Source organism: Homo sapiens, chromosome 1, assembly GCF_000001405.40.
Source record: "Homo sapiens chromosome 1, GRCh38.p14 Primary Assembly".
NCBI lineage: Eukaryota > Metazoa > Chordata > Mammalia > Primates > Hominidae > Homo > Homo sapiens.
Genome location: NC_000001.11, coordinates 146,187,597 through 146,213,251, shown reverse-complemented (window position 1 = coordinate 146,213,251; position 25,655 = coordinate 146,187,597). Strand labels below are relative to the sequence as shown.

At 38.1% G+C, this 25,655-nt stretch overlaps 1 protein-coding gene across 4 annotated transcripts in view, besides 2 other annotated features; it reads left to right on the top strand.

The window, feature by feature from the left end:
• Positions 1–25,655, top strand: part of NOTCH2NLA (notch 2 N-terminal like A) — an 80,157-nt gene that overhangs the window by 15,770 nt on the left and 38,732 nt on the right. For 2 of the 4 annotated variants that reach the window (NM_001364006.2, NM_001395231.1), the window contains exon 2: positions 23,879–23,952. In NM_001364006.2, coding sequence (NP_001350935.1) covers positions 23,879–23,952 — 74 coding nt within the window. Of the gene's footprint in view, positions 1–23,870; positions 23,953–25,655 lie in introns of all 4 variants that reach the window. The other 2 variants (NM_203458.6, NM_001395232.1) reach the window with 1 other exon arrangement.
• Positions 14,307–14,506: a silencer, noted in NCBI's record as "fragment chr1:145239247-145239446 (GRCh37/hg19 assembly coordinates)". NCBI's record gives its function as "represses an EF-1alpha promoter that drives an FKBP-Casp9 reporter gene in an ReSE screen in K562 erythroleukemia cells {active_cell/tissue: K562}" and the evidence as "EXISTENCE:reporter gene assay evidence [ECO:0000049][PMID:32094911]".
• Positions 20,348–20,548: a silencer, noted in NCBI's record as "fragment chr1:145245299-145245491 (GRCh37/hg19 assembly coordinates)". NCBI's record gives its function as "represses an EF-1alpha promoter that drives an FKBP-Casp9 reporter gene in an ReSE screen in K562 erythroleukemia cells {active_cell/tissue: K562}" and the evidence as "EXISTENCE:reporter gene assay evidence [ECO:0000049][PMID:32094911]".

Sequence of the window (25,655 nt, the reverse complement as noted above, 5' to 3'; positions counted from 1 at the left end):
AATAGTAATATCTAACTTGCAGGATTGTTTGTAAAGATTGAAAGCAACATATTTAATTGTGCTTGCGTGGTTCTGGGCACAGAATAGGCACCCGAGTGTAGGGGCCCCTGAACTTTAAAGTTCATTACTTTCATGGTAATTCCTCCTTTGGAATATATAGCCTGGGAACATTTGTCTCTAGACCTTGTTTCAGTTTCTTTTAATGACTCCCTTTAGGCTCTGCTTCATGGCCAATGCAAGATTATGGATCACCTAAAGAGTAGACTAAAAGTACTATTGTCTAGTAACTTCAAGTTTGTAGGTTAACTCACTGTGAATCAAAAGCTTTTAAAAATCTTTTGTGTGGTCATAGTTTGTAGTGTCTTGTACCTCTCATCTCAGAAGCAATTGATTCATAGAAAAAATTATTTAGGATTTCAGATTAAAGATGAAGAACTCTTTCAATAAGAAGGAACTGATTTGGTTGGATTATTTGTTTCTTTCACCCCTGAGTTTTCATGGAAATCAGGTTTAAAAGGTTAGAAGCAGTTGGTTTTCAGCATTGGGAAAGCTTATCTGATCAGGCATGCGAAGTGGCCTATGTCGGATTTCTGAGCTAGGAAAGGCTAGGGGAGGTTGAGGAGATTATTGTACTTGTAATTCCTGAGCATGGTTGAGACACAAGGAGAGGATTGTGGAAATTGTTTTTAAAAAATTGTTGAAGTTAATGCATTCTTGGGTGGATTTGCAAAACAGAACAAAACAAAAAGTTGTTGAAGTTAGTTACACTGGTCTAACAACGTATACTTACCACCCCCATTTGGGCTGGAGGAATGGATCTAATAATAATATAGGTGTTTGTGATCTAATTTGAATCATGTAATCATTTATCATTTCTGGGTTAGATGGTAAGGATTTTCTGTTTCACAGATTTTTAGACTGGGAATTGTGCTATTATAAAATAATATTTTACATTAAATAATGCTATCTAGGTTGTAATCACCTTAATAGACATGATTTATTTGGGCCACAAATGAACTCTGGTAAGAATGGAGGGCTGGTTACATTATTTTAGTTTTACAGATGAAAATAATCAGTCTCAAATAGCTTAAGGGAATTCCTTTAGACCATATGGTTAGTATATGGAAAAGCCAGAGCTAGAACCCAGGTTCTGATTTCCAGAGCAGTTCTTATTTCATGATACCGCATAATTTTATAATGTCCCTAAATCCGAATTTCATTTCTCATGATGTGAAAGGATTCTCTTTATTTCTGTTTGGTTAGCTGCATCAGAGCATGACAGAAATGGAGCAGAATTTGAGTATTCTTTCCCCAGATGGGTCAGTTAGCTTTTCTTAAAGCTATTCTGTGCTTACATTGTTAATCAGTTGTCCCTGGTTCCTAGACAGGATGTTGATACATGTGAAATAGGCAGGAATATGTGTCTGACTCAGCTTAACTCATCACAACTTTCATATGTCCTGCTAGTGGGTCTATAACGTCACCCTCGTTTACAGGCGTTTTTAATTTTCTGATGTCTATTTCTTAGTATTTTTCCTCAGCCATTTTTAATGTCTCAAGCCATAGTTCTTCCTGAGTGGCCTGAAGTGATTTTGCTGCTCTTTAAAGCTTCCTTAAGGTTTTTCAAGAGCGTACAACATAGGCTGCTTCTAAGTGTATTTTTATTTCCTAGCTCTTAGCATTTCTCACCTTATCATTATAACTTTAAATTTAAACAGAATACAAATTGTGTACACAGATGGTGTGTCACTATTGCACTGTCACTTATGTAAGTGCAGTTTAGCATTTCTTCTTTCCTTTTAATCAAAATGAGGAAATAGAAAATGTTTTGTTATGGTAGTTTTACACATACACCCACAAGGAAATGTGTATCTAGAGTCTGTGGGAACTGTGACTGATACATTTCAGGGAATAAAATGTATGATGGCTAAAATTTTAACTCTGCCAAATGTTCACGGGGAAAGAAAAATTAACAAACTCACATTTTACACTTTATTTTAGCCTAGTCTCTGCCTTGTTTACATCTATATGATAATGAAGCTATACTTGTCTTTCCACAACAGTGTATTTTATAAGTTGTACCTTTTGTTTAAGGGAGCCTTCTTAACAAACTTTCTTTCAGTTGTCCAGTGTACAGAAGCTTACTGGAAGGAGTGGCCAACTAGTTAAAGGTTTGACACCTCAATATCAACAAAATGCCAAGTGGATCATTTTGACTCTCACAGCAATCCAACTGGACATTTGACCATGCCCCGTGGTCAGTGGAGAGCTTCTTCTCTGAAGGCCACTTTTATCTAGCACATCAAGGCTATACACCTCTTTCACTAAGAAGAATTTGACACTTTTATGTTGTGAGAGCTGAGATTCACCATTCTCCACCATCCTGAGAAGAGCTTTGATAGAAGGGCTACTCGTGAGGTACATAGATTATCTAAAATACATACAATTTTTTCATAGAAAATTATATATGTATTATAATTTTTATTCAAGACAGGTTGAAATTAATAGATTTCTTACATTCACTGCATTAAAGGAATATTTATGGCTTTGGTAATATTTTAAATTTCAAATTAAAAAATTTGAATATCTGAATTAAGTATCTCTGATTTAACTCTGTGTGTGTGTGCGTGTGTGTGTGTGTGTGTGTGTTGGGAGGAGGAATAGACCTTGGAATTGTTTTTTCAAAACTTTTTTTATAATAGTGCCTAATCTCAGTTGGCAAGGAATAGCTGTCCAGAATGCTGCATAGATCTAGTGAAAAGATTTAGGGAAGTTGTAACTAGTTTAATAACCATCTGTGGAGTGACATAGATTGACACACCCAATTACACAAGACCTGAGTCTGAGAACTGTTGATGTGCAATCATCCCATCAGCATCTGCTCGTCATTATCAACAACAATAATGGCTCAACTATTTCTTTGAGGCCACATGAAAAGACAGTGTACCCATAGCAAAGGATAAGTCAGACCTGAAAAAAACATAGCCCTCTGCATCCCCTTGTTCCCAAACTTCTTTTTAAACATAACCTTTTGTGAAGTTCTGAAAGAATTCATTTTATGTTTTCTTTTTATTAATTTTTCTTCTTAAATACCATGTCTTTCTGGCTGAAATCCTTGCCAAAACCAGGAAGGGCCAGTGTACTGTGGGTGATTTTTCTAATTCATTTCTTTGTCATTTGAAGCCTTCTGTGGCTTCATGCTGCTTTATGTGTGTGTAAATATTCAGTATCTTTTCTAGTTTACACTTTTGTCACAACTGCTATTAAGCCACCTATGGACACATTCTAATATAAATTATTTTGGCCACTGTGAGTGGGAGGGAAAGAATCAGTTCACAGGGATAAATTTGCATGTTGAGAAGATAATATATAATAGTTTGCAAAACACTTCTATGTACATTGTATCTTTTATAGAGACAAGGCCATGTTTTTATTTGTGGAGACTGAGACAGAGACCCCATGAGATCTAATGCAGAGTCACATGACTCCAAAGCCAGGTCTTCTATCTGCTCTTTGGTATATAACTGGATCATTATTCTATTGACAGAAATAAGGAATCTTCTTATTTTTCAAAGGCACCCTTTTGCCCTTGGAAGGTATATTTAGAAATCCTTTACCAGACTAGAAAGAAGACAGTTATATTTTCCTGCCTTTTGATAAAAAACAGTGTGTTTTTTCTAAATCTTGTTGTGTTTGACTAGAGTCTGATTAAGGTACCTTTTGGGAAATTAAGGTTCTATAGAAATTACTGGGCTCAATCTAGTGATACAAATATGTGTTGTTTGATTTATCAACACATTACAAACCTTAACTTTGGAGTTTTAATATCTGGTTATCTTTAATATCTGGTTATCTTCTTTCTGAAGTGTATGTACACAAAATTGATGCTAAATAAGGTCTTGTTGTTTTGGCAAATAGTGAAATGCAAGGTATTGGTAGATCAGTACTGTTATAACTTTGGTGCAAAGTTGCTGCATGCAGATTGGCTGTGGGACCTTGTTCATTTTTTGAGAACTAATGTAGAGTTTGAAAAAACACCGTAAGCCTGCATTCCAGAAGTTCTGGTATGGATAGTGTGAGCCCAGGGAATGTGCTTAGATAAAAGATCATTTAACAAATAGGTTTTGCATTTTTTTAGCAATCAGGCTTTGTGCTGAATATTAGAGTGGTTGTTTCAGAGAGTTTGCAGCAATTAGGCTTTATTGGTGCACTAAGGAGAAGCAGAGAGGAGAAGCAATTCTTGGTAACTTCCTTGGAAGTTGCAGCTAACTCTGAAAAGTCTGGGTTGAACTAGGTAAGTAACTAATTCCTAGAATCAATAAACTTTGCAGGAGTCCGTTTGATTGTACATGTAGCTCCCTGGAATTGCTATTGGTCCCTAAATCATCAGTTTGTAATGCTGGTTTTCAAACTTGAGTGCACATCAAGTTTTGGAGGACTTGTTAGAATACAGATTGCTGGGCTCACCCCCAGAGTTTCTGATCTGGTAGGTCTGGAGCGGGACCTGGTAGATTGCATTTCTAAAAAGCGTCCAGGTAATACTGCTGCTGTTTGGGAAAGTACACTTTGAGAGTCACTGGCTTACAGCAATCTCAAGGTGTTTGGATTTTTGGGCAGGGGTGCTGTGCAGGCGTTGCTGGGATCTCTTCACAGCACCTCCACTGCATAGAGGTGAGCCTCCAGATGTTTTCATTCATTCAACAAATATATGTACCTATTGTGTGCTGGGCACTGCTTAAGTTGCGAGGGGATATTGTGAAGAAAGTAAGCAAAACCCCTTTGTTTGTAGAATTTCAGTGAGCATAGTCCTGGGTTAACCTGACAACAGTCCTACTGTTTATTGATGCTTATAGGTGAGCCTATTTCTCTTTCTAGCTTTCTTCCACTTAATTTATTTTCTTTTGGAATTCTTGAATTTAATAATAATAATATTGATGTTATTAGTCATCACTATAACTTTTTATTGAGTATGTATTTTATGTCAGACACAGTGTGGCTAAGTGCTTTACATACATTATCTCATCTAATCCTTAGAAAAAACCCTGGTGTATTAGTCTTAATTTAAAAGATGTACTTTGGAAAGGTTAGTAGTTTAGCCAAGATTATGCAGCTAGTTAAAAGTGGTGCTGGGGCTGGGCTTGGTGGCTCACACCTGTAATCGCAGTGCTTTGGGAGTCTGAGGCAGGAGGATCGCTTGACACCAGGAGTTTGAGACTAACCTGGGAAACATAGCAAGACCCCATCTTTACAAAAAATAAAAAAATTAGCCAGGAGTGGGGGTGCACACCTGTGGTCCCAGCTACTTGGGAGGCTGAGGCAGGAGGATTGCTTGAGCCCCAGAGGTTGAGGCTGCAGTGAGCCATGATTATGCCACTGCACATCTGTCTGGGTGACAGAGCAAGATCCTGTCTCCAAAAAAAAAAAAAAAAAAAAAAAGAAAGTGGTATTGGGCCTGTCTAATTGCAAAGCCACATTCTTTACTGCATGCTTTAGTCCATTGTTTTTTAAACTGCAGATCATGACCACGAATGGGTCATGAAACCAATTTGGTAGGTCTCCAACAGCACTTTGGGGGAAAAAGGGGTAGAATAGAGAGTATCACATAGTATGGACAAGCATTGTTTCTTGAAATTTTTGTTTTTGCTATGCACGTATATATGTGAATATTGAGGTCTGGTACAAGATATATTTCTCACTGTAGGTCACAGTAAAACATGTTGGTAAGCTACTATTTTCTTGGCTATGGGACTATATGTCATCTAATCACTTTTTAAAAACAGATTACAAACTGTAGGCCTTAGAAAGGTAAGTAATTTTTCAGCTGGGCATGGTGGCTCATGCCTGTAATCCCAGAACTTTGGGAGGCCAAGGCAGGCGGATCACGAGATCAGGAGTTCAAGACCATCCTGGCCAATGTGGCAAAACCCCGTCTCTACTGAAAAAAATGCAAAAATTAGCTGGACATGGTGGCGTGCACCTGTAATCCCAGCTACTCAGGAGGCTGAGGCAGGAGAATCGCTTGAACCTGGGAGGAGGAGGCTGCCATGAGCTGAGATCACGCCATTGCACTCCAACCTGGGCAATAGAGAGAGACTGCATCTCAAAAAAAAAAAAAAAAACACCAAGGTAAAGTAATTTTTCAAGAGCACAAAAATAGTCAGTGGCAGTACAAAGACAAGATGACTGACTTTTTTTTTTTTTTTTGAGACAGGGCCTCACTCTGTCACCCAGACTGGAGGGCAGTGGTGCGATGTTGGCTTACCACAACCTCCACCTCCCAGGCTCAAGCGATTCTCCTGCCTTAGCCTCCCGAGTAGCCGGGATTACTGGGGTGTGCCACTACCACCCGGCTAATTTTTTTGTATTTTTAGTAGAGACGTGGTTTCACCATGTTGGCCAGGCTGGTTTTGAACTGCTGACCTCAAATGATCCACCTGCCTCAGCCTCCCAGAGTGCTGGGATTACAGGTGTTAGCCACTGTGCCAGGCCAGATGTCTGACTTTTTAGCCCTTGGTCCATTGCTTTATTCTTCACACCATACCACTTCCTTAGAAGTGCACCTGGGAATGCCTGGGAATTGAATTTTATCTTTCCACATGATGGCAGATATGCTATGGAACCTTCAGGGATGTCGGTGAAACCTGAAAAGGGAAGTTGAATCTCAGCCTGCTCTGAGTAGGTGAAAATTCTGCCTTGGATCCCCCAAAGTCTGCAGATAAAGATGTGACATTTCTCGTGTTCTGCTGTGCTTGAAGGAAAGAGGGTAATAATCTTAACAGTGCCAAGCTGTAAGCATGTTGCATATATTAACTTGTTTAATTACTAATTATTTTGATACAGCGGCCATGCCTGGGATATGAACTCAGCTGTTTTGAGTGAGAAGGGGCATCCTACCAGTGTGAGTTAACACTTCTCTGTACTCTCCCCGGTTCCTCATTTTGTTCCTGCTGAGTTCAGAGCTATGTTCCTCATAGCCTGGCTTACCTGTGGATGTTCTCAGCCTCATTTTCTTTTGCTAGATCATATATCTTCATTAGGTGGGTGATTTTGGTTTCTGTTACTTTTTCCTTAATATTAGTATATTGCTGATTTGGATCAGGGGCCAGGCTGTAGATTTTCAGCATGGTGAGGTGATAATACATGTTGGTCCCCCATGCAGAATGCTGCCTCTAGCACTTTAGCCAAAGGAGCTCTACAGTCTGTCCAGAAGTACTGGGGGACACTGGTAATAACCTGAGAACACTTACAGAGCCTTCCAGAAAGTGCCCTTTCACATCATATAAACAGATCATGGGAAGCTGAGGGAATGCAAAGTCAAGGCCTCATTGGAGAGCGGAAAGGAGGCTGAGATTGGTGGAGAGGAGTGGCTGTTACATTCTAATTAGAAGAATGACATGTGCAGGGCCATGAAGCAACTAAAGATGGGATGAAAAACTTAACTTGTGAATCGCAAAATTTGAGTAGGAAGGAGCTGGAAAGGCCTGGAAGTGCGAAGTGATTGGCCCTTGGTCAGATGGCTAGAAGATAGAGAGCCAGGCATAGAACCCAGAATCCAGGCCATCATTTTGTGGCCTCTTTTATCCTAATGACATGTTAGCCAGAGGTGTCTTCCAAAGCACCTGATTATAGGGAAGAATGAATGTCACTTACCCTAGAGTGAGTGAAATAGAGATGCCAGGAAGATATACCAGGTTTATCCAGTTTCTTTGCATTTTTCTGGCATACTGTATACTCTTGAGCGCATATGTATCCTACTTTGTGAAATCTGGGGGTAAAGCAGGACCCTTCAAACCCTTAAAAAATGTATACCCCAAGAAAAACATTTTTAAAGCATGAACGCTTCCTCAAGTAAATACATATTTATACATTATATAAATGTCTGGCTATTAAACCATGTATGCATATGTTAACTCTAAGTAAAGCTTATTATATGTTTTTTAGCCCATAAATATGGAGATGTTTTAAAATTTCTTCCAGTGCCCCAGTGGATGATCTTACACCTCCCGTGCTTCTGGGATACACACACCTAATTTTGCAGACCACTGGTCCAGAATGTAAATTGAAGAGTTTAATGTCTAAGATATTTGTTCTTTTGTTTGTAGCTTATCTTTTACTCCCCACATTTCAAATATCCGTTTGCAAAATAATTTTTGAGTTAAAATTTTCAATTAAAAAACTGTATCCTTGAGGTAGAAAAGATAAAGATAGAAGATATATGTGAATTAGGTTGTATCTCTCCTTAAGAGGGAATACTGTTTTTTATCTAAGGAGAACTAACAACCCTCCCTTTCATTGTCTGGGTTGGTATAAGTAAAAATCCTTGTTTGAAGTTATTAAGCCTTCCCACCCATATGATGATTAGTTTGGTTCATAAGCTAGAGTTAGGGCTTGGTAAAGGCTCCTTTTTTTTTTTTTTTTTTTTTAAAGTCTTTCCACCTTAACTAGCAAGTAAGCTAGAAATGACAGAGCAGTAGAAGGGGGAATCTACCAGAGTGTCCTACAGGACCTTGTTGAATGCTACTGCTGCATGCAAGGGTTGTGGATTTGGTGTGGGCCTTCTGCAGTATCACCCAAATTTGAGCAGTACATGTAACTAAAAGTAAGAAAAATAAATTAGACAGTTTATTTCATTTCAGACTTTGGAAGCCCAGGACTGTGGGGATTAGCTATTAGCTAAGACAATGATTCACTGAGCAAATGCAGTGAAAGATTCTTTTGTTACACTGATCATCATTTGTGGAGAGACTCTGAAGAAGGATAAAGCTCTGGCTGCATAGTCAAACCAGACCTACTACTCAAGGACATGCATACTAGATATGTAGGTGTTTCCAAATATTTTTTTCAGTTGTGGGGGTGCAAATCATTTCAATAGTAGAGTAACTCAGTTCATTACTGTTACTGGAAAAACAAGTTTAACCAAGCACATATCCTACTGAGGGTGAGTCAACAGTGTCATTTTAACATAAGAAGGACAGTACATGAAGTGAGTTATTCCAAGTCCTGTGGTTTTCCTACAGCTGAGCAAAGACAGCTGTTCTTTCGGAAGTGGGGCTCTAAAAAGAAGTTGCCCATCTCCTTTCTTTCTTGATTATAGCCTTTTAGTTTTCTTTTGGCCTGAGACATTTCAAAAATTCATTTCCTCCTTAGATTTCTATCACCAAATACCCTGAATTTTGATAATTTATTTATAGAGTATATTATTTATTATAGACTTATTATAGTTTAAAACTTTATTTTAATTTATCTCCCATTTCAAGATCCACGTTTGCTATATGTGTCAGATAATAAAAATGCCATAAGGAAAACAGAGGAGTGATCTTTTTTAATATGTCATTATTTTCTATAGTTCTTTAGTGGTATGGACATGGAATAAGGTGGCATTTTGTGGGACAGTATACCAAACTTAGTGATAAAATTTATACTTTTAATTTTGGAGGACAAAAGTCTTGTATTCTCAGCCTTGTGGATAAGACAGTGCTCTGAGCTGTCTGAGGTTTCCTAAATTGGGATTCAACATCATGAAGGGTATGTGTCTGGATAGTTTATTTGTTGGTTTGGGAAGGTGAGTTTTTGTCTTTTTTCCCCCTCTGAGTTGATTTCTTTAGTTGGAGAGAAGCAGACCAGATGAAGAAAATACTTTATCTCTTATGGCATTTTTGGTTTACCACATTAGTGATGACCCGTCTTCTCTGAGCAGCAGGCCATGCTTCTCTGTTCAGTAGTTCAGTTTTCACTAACTTAACTGCAGATGTGTTCTTGGAGGGATTTATTTCTAATCAATTGAATTATGGGTACTTGGATAAAATGATGATGGGTTACCTACTTTTAATAGGGCCGTCATTTTTAAGAGTAAAATCTTGTCAAGATAGGGTATATCATACTTATGATCTGGTTCCATCTCTAACTCCATAATTTCCTTTTGCTCCTGTGTTGCTACTCTATTATTGAGAAGAGATGGTATCTTGTCAGTGTCAATTTTACAAAGAAAAAATTCTAAACAATTTCAGTCATAGGGTAGTTTTTTTTTTTTCCTGGAGAAATAATGCATAGTGTAGTATGTTGAATCCTAGAGTTGGCAGGTTTTCAAAAGTGGAGTTCTTTTGTTGTGTAGGTAGGGGTGATGCTAGTCAATGGGTGTTAGTCATTAGGGCATGTGTATGAGTGGTAGTTCTGAGATACAGCATTGGCAGCCCCTCTTGTCCCTGGTTTTGTTTTTGATAAGCAAGTCCTGGTTTTGTTTTAATAAGCAGGTCATTAGCTGATCTTTCGTGTAAATGTTTTTGATGTGCATAGCTGGTATGTGGGTGGTTACCTACCTGAGAATGTTGTAGTCACAAATGTATATTATGGAAGTTTGCAGATTATGGTGGATATCAGGTTTTTCTAACTGCGTATTTACAGATGTAGTGAGTGAAAGGAATGTTGGGTCAGTAGGTAAAAGACTTGTGCTCTGGTCCTGGTTCAGACATCTTGATTTGTGTGACTTTGGGCAAGCCCCTTATTTCTTTGAGTTGCAGTTTCTTGTGTAAAATGGTGCTAATACCAATTTACATGCCTCATAGTGTTGTTGTGGGGATCAAATGAGATCACTGTTTATGAGCAGCCTTCTCAGGAGTGAGAAATAGAGGGTTGTGAGCTGACTTTCTGATTTGTTTGGCTGAGGTGTTCACACAAGCCATAGAATGCTTTGTAGGCTTGGGTGGAGGAATGTAGATGGAAATCAGCTGAAAATCCCTGCCTATTAGAAGCTGAGATGTTAATCCTAAATATATTCTATGGAGTACTATCAGATGCCTTGCTTTTCTTCATGATGCCCTATTAGCTTCATCTTCAGGTAGCATAGGTGCCTGTTACTCTCATTTTACTTGAAGAAACTGACCAGCCAACTGATTTAGGATATGGCTGGCTATCTTCTGGAACTCACATTAGAGTTACTCCTTGAGAGTAAAGTCTTGTATTTTCTGAAGGTTGCTGCTTTTGGGGTATTTTCCGTGGAGGTGGGTGGGCACACACAAAAACTCACTGTGCTCAAATTTATAAACTTGTTCTTCTTAACAATTTTAAAGCCAGATTACATTGGATTGGGGGAGGGGAGGATACTAGATTTAGTGTTTTTTAATATAAAACTTTGTATTTGAAACTTTATGTGGTAACATATATTTAGGCTCATAGCCAAAGTGATTACAATGCATTGGTTTTAATATTTTCAGTGAGGTAATGTGTGCTTTAGTGGGGAGGAGGAGAAATATTATTTAATCACCAGCACTACACTAATAACCACATTTACTAAATCCTTTGTCCCTTTGCTTGAACTGAGGGTTCCTTGCTTTTATACTGGTTTTCCAAAGGACTTAATCTTGTTAATGTGATGAGGTGATGATGGGAAGGACATTCCCACTGGGCCCGAAGTGGTGAAACTGGTAAAACTCCCTTTGTAAGTCCCTCTTGTTCAACATGAGTGTCACTCCCATGTCCCTAAAGTAGAACGGAGTTTTATTGAAGAGAGAATTTTAAGAGTGATAAACAAAAGAGATGGAAATATCTCCTGTGCCAGGTCATTGTTACCATTAAAGACTAGAATAAACTGTAATTTTGCAGATTTTCTTTTTGTCTTATGGGAAATTAAAGACTTGGTTATCCTCTCTCGGAGGAAGATAGAAAACTACTGGGCCTGCTCATTAACAGTTTAGCTTGGCTGACATTTTTCAAGCACTTACCATGGTATTATAGCTGGGCTGAAGCTAGGTGGAGCAGACCTCACTTAGGTGTTGCCTAGCTCCAGAATCTGTCTTCTGGTGGAATTCCCTTAGGCTTCCAGACAGGAGTGGCAACAAAGCAGATGAAATGGAAGGTAGGCCAGGGCATCTGCTCGTTCGCTCGCTCGCTTGCTCTTTCTCTCTTTCCCTTTTCTTTCCTTTCCTTTCCTTTCTCTCTCTCCTTTCTTTCTTTTGCTTCCTTCCTCTCTCTTTCCCTTTCCCTTCCTCTCTCTCTTTTCTTTTTTTCTTTCTTTTTTTTCTTTTCTTTTCTTTCTTTTCTCTCTCTCTCTTTCTTTAGCAGTTTATTACTCATTTGTGAGAATCAGGGAAGCACTGGGCTCAAGAAAGCCAATACCCCTTCTAGGGCTTACCCCCCATTTTAAAATTTAATATATTGGAATTTATATTGTTTCTTTTGATCCGAGATCTTCAGGCTGAAGCTGGAGAGAAATCTTTTGACCTCTCTAGAACAAAGAAAGCCTTTATCAAAGACAATGTAACTTTTTGAGTTTGCCAAATTAGGTGTTGCTGCAAATGGAGAAACCTAGAGTTCTCTTCTGTGCTTAAAGACACAAACATGGAAAGTTTTAAGTTCCAATATGGTCACTTAATATATACAAAATTTTCTGTCTTTGCTGTCTTTGTCATTCCAGCAACAACTGGATGAGCAAATAGAATGATTGTGAGCACTTGCAAACCAAATTGTGACTGTTAGTGTGTTGAGCTGCTTTTTTATTAAAATGACTGCTACAACTCTGCAGAAATCTGAGTAGTCTTAAAGATAAATTCTTGCTTGCATTTACAATAAAGAAAGAATATGAGTAATCAAAACGCTGATGGAGTTGGAGGACTGGCGTTTTTAAGAGGAACTGATTTGGACATTGAGATTATCAGCTCCTCATCAAATATCATTAAGTACACATTATTATTTTTTTCTGTTGACCAGGAGACCCAAGTTGTGTTGATGTGGGACATAGTTGTATGTCTGAAGAAACAAAGCAAGGGAGAATAAAATAAATAAAAATTGAAGTTCAGGAATATATATATATATATATATTTTTTTTTTTTTTTCTCAGGCAGAGTCTTGCTGTGTCACCCAGGCTGGAGTGCAGTGGCACAATCTCGGCTCATTGCAAGCTCCGCCTCCCGGGTTCATGCCATTCTCCTGCCTCAGACTCCCTAGTAGCTGGGACTACAGGCACCCGCCACCATGCCCAGCTAATTTTTTTTTTGTACTTTTAGTAGAGATGGGGTTTCACCGTGTTAGCCAGGATGGTCTCGATCTCCTGACCTCGTGATCCGCCCACCTCGGCCTCCCAAAGTGCTGGGATTAAAGACATGAGCCACCGCGCCTGGCCGTTTAGGGCTATATTTTATGTTTTCTTCTCCCTTTGGTATTTAATAAAGATTTGATATTTTTCTATTATCTGCTTTCCTCTGTTCCAAGGTTTTTGGCCTCAGGTGTGTTCTCTGGAAATGGCAATGATAGGCATTTATAATCTCCATATTTAGATATTTCCCTCACAGTGCTAGTTTCTGAGCTTATTAGAACCTAATGTTAAATGACGAGTTAATGGGTGCAGCACACCAACATGGCACATGTATACATATGTAACAAACCTGCACGTTGTGCACATGTACCCTAAAACTTAAAGTATAATAATAAAAAAAAGAAATATCCTGGCTATGAGTCAAGGGTTTAGGACCTTTTGAGGCACTTGGGTTTAGACAATTCTCAGTGATGTGTACAGGAATTTGGGTACAGGAATACTATTCACAGGTGAACAGAGTTTGATTTTGGCTGAAGGCATATTATTTGATCCAGATAATAATATAAAAATAATCCAAATGTTAGGACCTTAGCTTCTGCGAACCCTGACTTGAGAATAGTTAGCCATACATGTAGTTGGACTTTATGTAGGACTAACCAATCTCCTCTGCACTATTTTTGCACAGTACATTGATTATGGTATCCCTGATGACCTCTGTCCCCATCCTTGTGAGTAGCCTTCATTGCTACCACCCAAGGATGTTTTAAAAAGGCTATGAGGAAGGATGCATGTAGGGAAATCTGAGGTTGTTCTTTGGATTTTCCCTGTTTTGTTTTAGGAAGTATCCATGATTTTATATAATAATATGTAGCAATCTTAGGTTTTTCCATTTTCATTTTTAACATAATTTTGTTATTCATTCTGTTTGGGTGTCTACCTCTAAATTAACAAACATGAGAAATTGTGTACTCCATTTAAAAAGTGTCCTGAGCAATTTAAGCTAAAAGAATATGTTGTTTCTTTTGTGTGTATAGCAAGAAGATTATATATATTTATAAATTTTTTTCCAGCAAGTGTACTTAAAAGCATGTACTTAAAATTAAGGACTTAAAAAAACTAAGCTGTACTTAACAAAATAATCTTTAGAAAGCTTTAAGGCCGGGCGCGGTGGCTCACGCCTGTAATCCCAGCATCACGAGGTCAGGAGATCCAGACCATCCTGGCTAACACGGTGAAACCCTGTCTCTACTAAAAATACAAAAAAAATTAGCCGGATGTGGTGGCGGGCACCTATAGTCCCAGCTACTTGGGAGGCTGAGGCAGGAGAATGGCGTGAACCCAGGAGGAGGAGCTTGCAGTGAGCTGAGATTGCGCCACTGCACTCCAGCCTGGGTGACAGAGCGAGACTCCATCTCAAAAAAAAAAAAAAAAAAGCTTTAAAAAGGGAGTTTACTAAAAGCACAGGAAATTGGTGACAGGCAAAATTTGTCTTGATAATAGTACAAATACAGATAGTGGAACAGAACAGATAATACAAGATATAAGACAAGACATGGAATAACACTTCATATTCACTTTCTTTGACCACTAAGCAGCACACAAATATATAGCACTTTTTGTAGAGAATAATTAAATTTCTAGATATGATACAGCTTCTTCCTCTCTGTTGGGTTTTATTACACTGAGATCCTGAACCTTTTGGACATGTAAACTGTGATCATGTTGGTCAGTGTCATTTGGATCTCGTTGGTGCTTATTGTTCTGCCGATGTGTATTAGTGAACCTACTCATGGGGAAGATAATACTATACAATGAATTTTCCCATTCAGTTGGAATTTTTTTATTACTCTGTTTTCTATGTTTTTCATTTAGATGTAAATTATTTTGGCTTCCATTCAACCTATTTCAGCTAGTTTTTACCATAATACACATGGCTTAAGATTTATAGGAGGCTAAGAGTGGAGAGTGTATCTTCATTCAAACAAATGGTAAGAAAGGAACTTTCAAAACTGTTTTAGTTTTGCAAAGATTAGAAAAGTACAATTCTACTTTCTCAACTTTTCATCCTTGTTAAAGGCCTGGAAATTTGCAGCATTTTTTTCTTTCTTATTTTACTTTTCTAATTTGTTACACAAAGTGAAATTCCACACATAAACATGCAAGCTGAAGGTTGGGTTTATTCATAGGTTTTGTCTTAATTATAGATATTTAGTTTATTGAATATCTTATTGAGTATTGAGTACCTGCTGTGGTCCAGGCATCTTCTTAGGTCCCAGGTGTACAAAGAGGAGCCAATTGTGGTTACTGCCTCTATGGAATTTGCCTAGAAGTGGGAGAGAGAGAGATGAGTGAGCCAGCACTTATAATACATCTACCTAGGATAAAATGGGAGCACAGAAGAGGAACATCTGTATCAGTGGGTCTCTGAGAGCTTCTTCAGGAAAATAATGCTTTATCTGTGATTTGAAATATAGTAGGAATTTAGCAAGATAGAGAAAAAGGAAAAGGAGGTAAAATATTTTTCAGGTAAAAGAATGTACATGGGTATAGAGGTGATCATTATTAGCAAATTGGCTACATCCTAATTTGTAAGTATTTGTGGATTTTTCAAACCTTATATTTCATGTAGAAGAGCTGAATGCATTAGTCTCATCTCCAAGATCCAGGTATTGAAATTTAACCCATGCATAAATTGAATTTTTTTCTGAAGTCTTTAATAAGAGAAAAATAAAAGGAAAAACTACACAGTGTATAGTAGATTTCAATATAGCACAGCAAACACTGATGAATTTTTTTTGCAATGAGTTCAATATTATAAAATAGAACAAAATTGGAGTTTTTAAAACCAAAAATTATTCTAGATTTATCAGCTAACTGGAATGATTTTTTTATAGTATGAAAAGTCTGTTAGTAATACAAAAAATATTCATTTATAAGTTGTTATCGTTGATTATATTTTCTTAAGGTATATTTTCAGTTTTTGAAAAGCAGTAATAATTTGCTATGACCCTATAGCCCAGTTCTTAATATCTGGATCTGATACTAGCATCTCTTAGGTAGAAAACACACTTTCTATATGATAATATCTGTAAAGAGCACATAAATCCTTGGAACACTATTAGGAAAACAAAATCGATTTATCTCTTATTGCTTTTTTTTGGTTTTTTTTTTTCCTTTTAATCAAGACAAATTTCAAGGAGGAAGACATGTTTCTCCGCTTCGTTTTTATTTAAATGTACCACTTGGGATTTGAAGCTTCCGCACTTCTTCTGTTTGTTTGGATTTTTTTTTCATGGCTTGATCCCAAAAAATGGAATACAAAATTTAGAGAAAGTTTTGTTTGAAATTGCAGGGCGCTATGAGAATTATTGCAAATCCCTGATGTCTCTTTGTCTGCCCTCAATTCTCCTATTTTTGGTAATAATGCAGGCAGTCATTTTAGAAAACTTTGCTTTGTTCATTTTACTGAGCCTCTTCCAGAGGCCATGTGCCAGAATCAACAGCAGCCAACCACAGCCAAGATCCTAGGGCGTAAACTCAGACTTCATCTCTCAAATATTGCTACTTGAAATTTGCATAAACATTGAAGAAAAAGTTAAAAGAGCCTGTATAACTCCTCTTCATGTATTTTAGGAGCCTCAGACAGTCAAGACATTAAAATACCTTCCGATTGAGCAGTGGGTCTAAGCACAGATACCACACTGCAGATAGGGAGAAGGATATGAAAAAAATCATGTGAGATAGACGACAGAGGCTTATTTGAAGAAGCTACAAAGCAACAAGTAATGCCAGTTTAAAACGATTACATGTTAATGCAACAAGTAAAACACATTGAAGGCTGCTCAGATTACACTGGCTGAAGTACAGACTTAATTACTCATGTTAGAGATTCCTAAAACAAAGGGAGGCTTTTAAGCCAGTGATATGTAGCTGGTATGATATTGAAAAGCATTGGAAAACCTAGGTAAATGCCTAGAGGAAATTTTAAGGAAGAGTCCATCAAGTCTGGATACCTTAGCCTTATCCTTAAATGAATAAATTTCTGAGGCGCTGGAGCTGGTTAAAATCAATGGCAGCTTGTTCTGTTGTTGGCAGTTTTGATGTATAATTGGGGCTGATAAACCTGAATAAATAAAAGAGCCTTGTCTGGATTGAGTTACAGTTAGTGCTAAACATCAAGGGTTCCTATTGTATTTCTTAAAAGTTCTTTTTGGAGTGATTCCAAGATTGGTATTAAGAGGGTATGCCAAGGGTATATATTGGCAATTTTTATTTTGTTTGTATTTATCTTAGAGTCATTTGGGTAGGTCACATTCTCTCTGCCCCTACTCCCAACTTCTCATTAGATTGTAAGGACCATGAGGACAGAGATTGTTTGTTTTATTTGTGCTTAGTTTTCATGCAGTGCCTAGTAGGGGACAATGCTGACAGTAGTTTCTCGACAAATATTAGTGGAACTGTATTAAAATTGAGTTTTTGCTCACATATATTGTTTATTTTACCTTTAGTGGATCACTTCTCCTTATGCCTTCAGTGCTATAGTTTTTTAAAAGAAGTATGTTAGTCTGTTTTGCATTGCTCTAAAGGAATACCTGAGGCTGAATAATTTATAAAGAAAAAAGGTTTATTTGGCTAATAGCTTTGCAGATTGTACAAGAAGTTTAGAGCCAACATCTGCTTCTGGTGAGGGCCCAAAAAACTTTCGTGGCTGAAGGTGAAGAGGGAGCAGGTATGTAACATGGCAAGAGAGGAGGGAGCAAGAGAGATGTCAGTCTCTTTCAAACAACCAGCTCACATGGTAGCGAGAACTCACTCATTACTGTGGGTGGGCACCAAGCTATTCATGAGAGATCTGCCCCCATAACCTGAACACCTCCCAGTAGGCCCCACCTTCAACATTGGGGATTATGTTTCAACGTGAGATTTGGAAGGGACAAAATAGCCAAACTGTATCAAGCACAAAGAAGATACAGAGATAGTCAATGGTGGAGCTAGTATTCAAACCCAGATTTGTCTGATTTCTGCATCCGTGCTTTCAACTGCTTAACTGCATTGCTTCAAATACTCAGAAAAGACGAAATGTTTTCCATATCCCAGGAACTTAAAAGTGAAAAAGCAGAGAGCTAGAAGACCCTGTAGTGCTGAATTGAGAGTCATGAGTGTTACAAGGATGGGGGGGGGTGGCCCTGTGAGGACCAGAACCCTCCAGGGGAAGCTTTCTGGGTGAGGCAAGAGGTGAACTGGGCCTTGAAGGAATGGGTAGAATTTAGATAGTAATGAGGAAGGCAGAAATCAGTGGAAGCACAGACATGCATGGAGGAATGGAACTGAGTTCAATGACGATCTATTCAGGAAAGAGGGCATAAACTGGGCAGAGAATGCAGTGGAAGTGGTGGGGAGTAATACTGGGCACGTAAGGTAAGCTCTGATCTGGAAGGCCAGCATGGGAGCCTAGACTGGTTAAAGTAAGAAATGGCTTGTCCTTGGAAGAAAAAGTGTCAAACTTGGTACTGTGTGAAGGTACTGCACAGACCTCCCAACTGGTTCTTAGGAGAGCCAAACTGAGGCTAAGTTCTGAGAACTAAGTAAGAACTGACAGCCATTGTAGGTTAGAAAGTAGTGGGGCAACATGTTACAAGTAGTGCTTCTGGAAGGTTAGATGCGGTTAGAATAAAATCATTGCCATTTTGGGGAGCTGGGAAAATGGATGTCTTCAGTCTAGTCTAAAAAGGGATGACTTGAATAAGCTTATATAAGAAAGAAAAGAAAAACCTTTTTACTCACTGGACCATTTCATAATCTTGACTTTTTTCAAACATAAATCTGTGTCATTTTTCTTATTTAAAACAGCTGAGCAGTTTACTCTCCTACTTAGAGCTGTGATCCTTATCATGGGCTCTTGTGATCTAACCCCAGCCTGCCTCCCTGGCCTCTGTCCTTGCTTAATAACCTCTAGCCATATGAACCTGGAATACCAGTCTAATTCCCACTTCAAGGCTTTTACACTTGTTGTTTCCTCTGCCTGGGGTGCTATTCCCTCATATCTTCATGACACTTGTTCATTTACATTGTAGCTCAAAGCATACCTCCTCAGGGAGGCCTTTCCTAGACACTATCTGAGGTACACTCCTGCACCCCCAGCCTTCATGATTGCTTTTTATACATTACTGGGTTTTGTTTCCAATGGAACTTATCGCTTATTACTGTCCTAAATTATTTTATTTATTAATTTTTTAGCCACCTTTCTCTTATAGAAATAAGGTTCCTGAGGACAGGGAGTTTATTCTGTATACTACGGTATCCCTGACATCAGGGCTTGTGCCTGCCGATAGTAGATGCTTTCTAAATATGTTCTGAATATTAGATAGCTAGTTCCCAAATGCACTGCACTGAAAGTGTATGAAAATTGGAAATTGGCTTCTAGATTTTTGTATTATATTGCCAAATGATGGAGTGATGAGATTGAAATCTACTACTTCTTTTTGCCTTTTTTTTTTTGGTGGAGTAGAGGAGGGCCTGCACAAACAGCAGATACACACACAGTAAATAAGATTTATTTCAGCCAGCAAGTATTTATTGACATGAAAATTGGGGTTAAATGTGACTCTTTGTGAGTGACTAGTTTCTTGGAGTCTATTAAAGCATCAGTTTAAACATCAATTCTCTATGGTATGATTAATGTTTCTTTTTTTACTTTATAAGCATGAAGCTGCCTTCAATTTTATTGTTAAATTTAAGTGTTTTACATTGGAAAAAAGTAAATTGAATTTTGAAATGAGGTCTGTCCCGGTCTCACTTTCATGGCTTCAGGTTATCAAAGTTTTAATTTCTCTTTGTATGGAAGATAATTATAGTATTCATTTTTGCTCCTGAGTAAAGCCACGAGTCTCAAGATTATTTTTCTTTTTTAAAAATTAGAATTGTCAGTTTATAGTTGTATACATTTATAGGGTACAAAGTGATGTTATAATTTGCTAATACAATGTAGAACAATTAAAAGGTAGGTAGTATATCCTTCATCTCAAATATTTAACATTTTTTGAAATTTACTCTCTTAGCAATTTTGAAATGTATAATACCCTATTATTAACTATATTCACCACACTATGCAATATATCTCAAACATATACAAAAAAATTCTTCTTGTGTAACTGTAGCTTTTTGTACCCATTGATCATCAGGCCCACAGCTTCCGTAACCACCATTTTCCTCTCTGCTTCTATGATTTTGATGGTTTTCAATTCTACATATAAGTGAGAACATGCTGTATTTGTCTTCCTGTGCCTTATTTCACTTAGCATAATGTTCTCCAATTCTATCCATGTTGTGTCAAATGACAGAATTTATATCTAAAGGTGGAATAGTATTCCATTTTATGTATCTACCACAGCTTTTTTTTTTTTTTTTTTTTTTTTTTTTTTTTTTTGAGATGGAGTCTCTCTCTGTCACTCAGGCTGGAGTGCAGTGGAGCAATCTCGGCTCACTGCAACCTCCGCCCCCCAGGTTCAAGTGATTCTCCTGCCTCAGCCTCCTGAGTAGCTGCGATTACTGGCGTGCTGTAATTTTTGTACTTTTAGTAGAGATGGGGTTTCATCATCTTGGCCAGGCTGGTCTTGAACTCCTGACCTCGTGATCCACCCGCCTCAGCCGCCCAAAGTGCTGGGATTATAGGCGTGAGCCACTGTGCCCGGCCTATCTACCACCTTTTATTTATCCATTCATCTGTTGATGGACACTTCCATAACTTGGTATGGGTGTACAGACATCTTTTCAATAAACTGATTTAAAATATCTGGGGTAAATACGCAGCAGTGGGATTACCAGATCATGTGGTGATTCTATTTTCAGTTTTTTGAGGAACGTCTGCACTGTTTTTCACAATGGTTGTACTAATTTACATTCCCATTAACAGAGTAGAAGGGTTCCATTTCTCCACATCCTGTTTATTCAGACGATATGTTATCATCTAAATCATCTAAGACCTCTATATTATATAGCTTTTGAGTATTTTTAAAAGTGGACACTCAAGCGTTCATATAGTCATAGTCAGTGTGTGGTTCCTCAGACCTGTGGTATCAACATCACCTGGGAATTTGTTAGGAATGCAGATTCCCAGGCTCCCTGCAGACTTAGTCAGAAATTGTGGGGGTCGAGTCTAACACTCTTTTTTAAAAAGCCCTCCAAGTGATTCCAATGCTTACTAAAGTTTGAGAACCGTGGCTCAGTAAATGCTAAAGGTTCAAGGTAGCATGATCCCACACATCAGCCAAGTGGCATTAATTATTAGCCTGGTAAGCCCACCTTCTTTTCAGTCACTGAGTTTGATTGGTTCACTAGGGCTAGGCTGTAAAGTTATTTGCTAGATTGATTGCTACATATTGACTTTGGGTTGTTTGTATTTCTCTGAACCTGTCACTGTAATGATTTGTCAGGACACTTAATAGGAACAGGCCGTGATTTTTGCACCCATGGCATTCTGAGTCATGGGTGGCTGGGTCATTATGTACTCCAGGTTTCTTCAGGCACTGGGCATGCCATTCATGTACTTATAAGGAGGGAGCTGTCGCTGGTGGATCACAGGGAACCTTTAGGGACATTTAGTTCGCTCTCAGCTTGGTACAGGTAGGGAAATTGAGCCCCCATGAAGTTGTGCTTTGCTTGCAGTTAGGGGTACAGACAGGATTTCAGGTCTCCTGAGTCCCTCCACTGCACCAGGATTCCTGCAGGGGGACAGAGCTACAGCTTTTTCTGTGCCTACAGGACATTCCTTTCCTACTGTGAGGGTTTTATTTATTTATTATTTTATTTAAAGAAAAAAAGTAAATAGAAAAAACCCCGGAAGTTCTCACTGAAACTAATAAAAGTGTCTAAAGAGAATGAAAAAATCAGTTTGAGAACTTTGGTATGGAGGAAATAACCTGACATTAACTGTTTTAATTATAGTTGTTGCATTGGGCTTATCAGTGTGGGAAGAGGGAGCATTTGAGCCTTACAGGGAAGTGGGATATGGACAACAAGATGACCCTCTTCCTGAATTTGCCTGTTTGGGCCTGCAGCCTGGTGACTCTTTGTGTGATCCCAACAGCTGTCATAGAGATGGGTTGGACTTTTACTGAGACCTGGGTCCTAGGCCCAGCACTGCCACCAGCTAGTGGCGCGATGCCCCGTAAAGAGGCCACTTATTCTCTCTGGCCTCTACTATTGGTAAATGGGTATAATAATATCCACCCTGCCAATCCTGAGAAATTTCAGGTAGTGGGAAGCAGTGTATCTTGGTGGTTAAGGGCAGAGTCTCTGGATTCAAATTCTAGCTTTCTAACTCACTGGCATGGCAGTAGGCAGGCCACTTATCCTCCCTGTTTTCTCACCTGAGAATGGGTATAATGAAATTTACTTCTAAGGGTTGTTGTGAAGATTGAATTAGTTAGCTAATTTATGTAAAGTACTTAGGATAGTGCCTGGTATTTAGTAAGTTCTATGTGTTAGCCTATTATTATTACTATTACCATTTAAAAATACTATTTCAAGGATGGGATGCATTTTCTGTAAACATGTTCTCAAATGATTCTACTACTGGATACAATACTGGGCTTTTATGCAGTAATTGTTGTTGGAGGAGTTGTTCTGACATCCAGCTTGCACCTGGGCTACTGGTTTCGTGGCCAGGGATGGCCAGGCCTAGCGTCTCTGATCTTGCACAATTTATGCATAGAGTGGTGTGGTTAGAGGAAACTTGGAGGGGGGAACTTCTCAGTTTTGCTTTCAGGTATTTATACATTAACTATCATAAGAGATGGACATCTTAATAACTTCCAAGAAAGAGTTCATGAGCTTCAATTTGATATTTATTGTTTGACTAGGTTTCTTTCTGTCTTACCTTTCCAGTTGTTAGGGTTCTTGATATGTATTTTGGTGATGAAAATTTCAACTCTAAAAGCTAAACAATCAAGATATTGTAATTATCCAGCAAGTGATTAGCAGATTTCGAGTAGACTTCTTCCATTCTTGGCTGAAATCAATGAAAATGTCTACTATTGCTGTTGTTTTTGTTCTTTTCTCTGAAAAGTCTGTTTTTGGGAGGGCCTGAGATGGTAAAGTGCCTTTTTATTGTCTCTTAAAGGGAATGGGGGAATCAACAGTTTGAGAATTTTTGTTTTATCTGTATGTATAAAATTGCCTTCTCCTTTTATTTCTTTTGATACTCTCTCTGCAGTCTCTATTCATGATCTACTCCCCATCTTTTTATGGGCCCCTTAAAGCTAGAGATTATGTTTATTCGTTTATTTATGTATTCCATTTCTCCTTTTTTCTGGATCCTAATTTTGTGCCTGGTGCATACTAGGCTCTCAATTTTAGTTTGTCGAATTACTGTTATTGCTGTTTCTGATTACTTCTTGAAGCGGTCTGTTTTAAAACTTCACCTGAAGGCTAAGTAATTCATCAGTATAATGGTGATCTATTATTTATCTAGCATTTTCCTAAACACTCATTGATGAATCCTTATAATACTCATCTGAAGTATCTAAATCCCAAGATGATGTGTCATGTCATAGATGGTATGGCTTTAATTTTTAATTGGGAGATGGAGATGTAACAGCTGGAGATACTGAAACACAGAGAAATAAGAGCATGATTCAAGACCACAAACGTGGTTATTGTTGGAAGATAGTTTTGGGATGGGCTTCTGTGCTAGAAGCCAAAACATAAAAAACTGATTAAAACTCTAAAAAGAAACCCAGATTAGGTGGGAATGAATGCTGATCTGGATTGGATTACACTTCTTTGGTGTCTGAGGGTTATGATTAGTGACTTACTTCTAATGTGCATTTGTTTTTATTTTTAGCATTGCAGTGTCGAGATGGCTATGAACCCTGTGTAAATGAAGGAATGTGTGTTACCTACCACAATGGCACAGGATACTGCAAGTAAGTTTTTCTCTTCATATATTTTCTTTTTGCGATAGAACACTGGACAAGATTTGATTCTACTCCTCTATTTTTAATGCTTCTGTGGAATGTTACTGGTTCTTGAGCTTTCCTGGTACAGATTTTGGTTGGGGGTGAGGATGGAAGGATGTGGATGCCAGATAATTGGCTAATAAGAACTTCTTACTATCTTACTGTTATCTTTCTCACTATGAAAAAGACTTTTCAGTGAGTGGCTAGTTAATGTATATGGGGTAGACCAGGCATGGTGGCTCATGCTGGTAATCCCAGCACTTCAGGAGGCTGAGTTGGGCGAATCACGAGGTCAGGAGTTCAAGACCAGCCTGGCCAACATAGTGAAACCCTATCTCTACTAAAAATACAAAAATTAGCCGGGTGTGGTGGCGCATGCCTGGAGTCCCAGCTACTCGGGAGGCTGAGGCAGGAGAATGACTTGAACCCAGGAGGCGGAGGTTGCAGTGAGCTGAGACCACATCATTGCACTCTAGCCTGGGTGACAGAGCAAGACTCCGTCTCAAAAAGAAATAAAAAAAAATAAAAAAATGTATATTAGATTCCCTTGTGTTTTTCAGATTAAGGAATACTCTTAGAGTCTCCCCTTAACATGTTATCTATTATCTTGTTTTTAAGTAAAACCAAATAGATATCAACTTTAATATTCGGCCCAGTATATGTGAATATTATATTCATATTTTTTTCTAGTGTAAAAAATCTAATTCTGAAAGTGAGACAGTGAGAGAGGAAGATGTGTGCATATGTGTAGATTGAGGGGGAGCAGGGGCTTTGGGTGTGTATTATTATATGGGGATAAAAGAGTAAGGATGAAGGAAAATGTAGGCTAGTTCTTGGCTTAAGAGCATTTTTTTTTCCTTTTTCTCCAACCATCTACTCTAGCCAAGACGTTTTGTTTGTTTGAGGAAGGCTGTGAGATAATTTCATAATAGCTTTTCTATGTTTCCTGCAAATAATTTTTTTTCTTCTGCCTCAATTGAAAATTTTTAAGAGGAATATGTATCCATTCTGTTTATTTCAGGGAAGATGCTGGAGAAATAAAATTTGGTAATATGAAATTTCTCTTCTTTTCCTTCATTTTTGTGAGGAGTAGTTCTTCTTTGCTTTGGTGGAGGTACTTGCTTAGTAAGCATTTTAAGTGAGTTTATCCAACACATTTTTATTTCTTACCAGGAATGTAATTACAACTTTTTTCCAGTGAGATCTGTTCTGACACCAGGATTTAGTTTTTTAATGTTATAAACAAGATTTTTTTTTCAAGTCAGAAATAATTTTCTTCACTAAAGTGAAAATTAAGCTGTGATGACAGTAAAGCTTAACAATAGGTTGTTTGGATTGGAATAAAGATAACATTGGAAATAAAGGTTTTATGTAGCTTATTATGGGCTGCTCATTTAGTTTTTCTAGCTGGGGGAAAAAAAAATGTGGTGCATTCTCCTCTAAGAATGGAGATACAACTGGAGATAATAAGGGAGGGAACTTAATACCTTAGAGTAGGCCACTGAAATCTTGTTTAGTCTTTTTGTGGCATTTGGTGCGTTAGTTGCTTGCTTTATTCTGTTATGCAACTCTTGTGGTAGTTAACCCCATTGCATTATGGTCATTTGTTGATGTGTTTCTTTTGCTAGAATGTGAGGTCTTAGTCTTATGCATTTTTTGCATAGTTAATG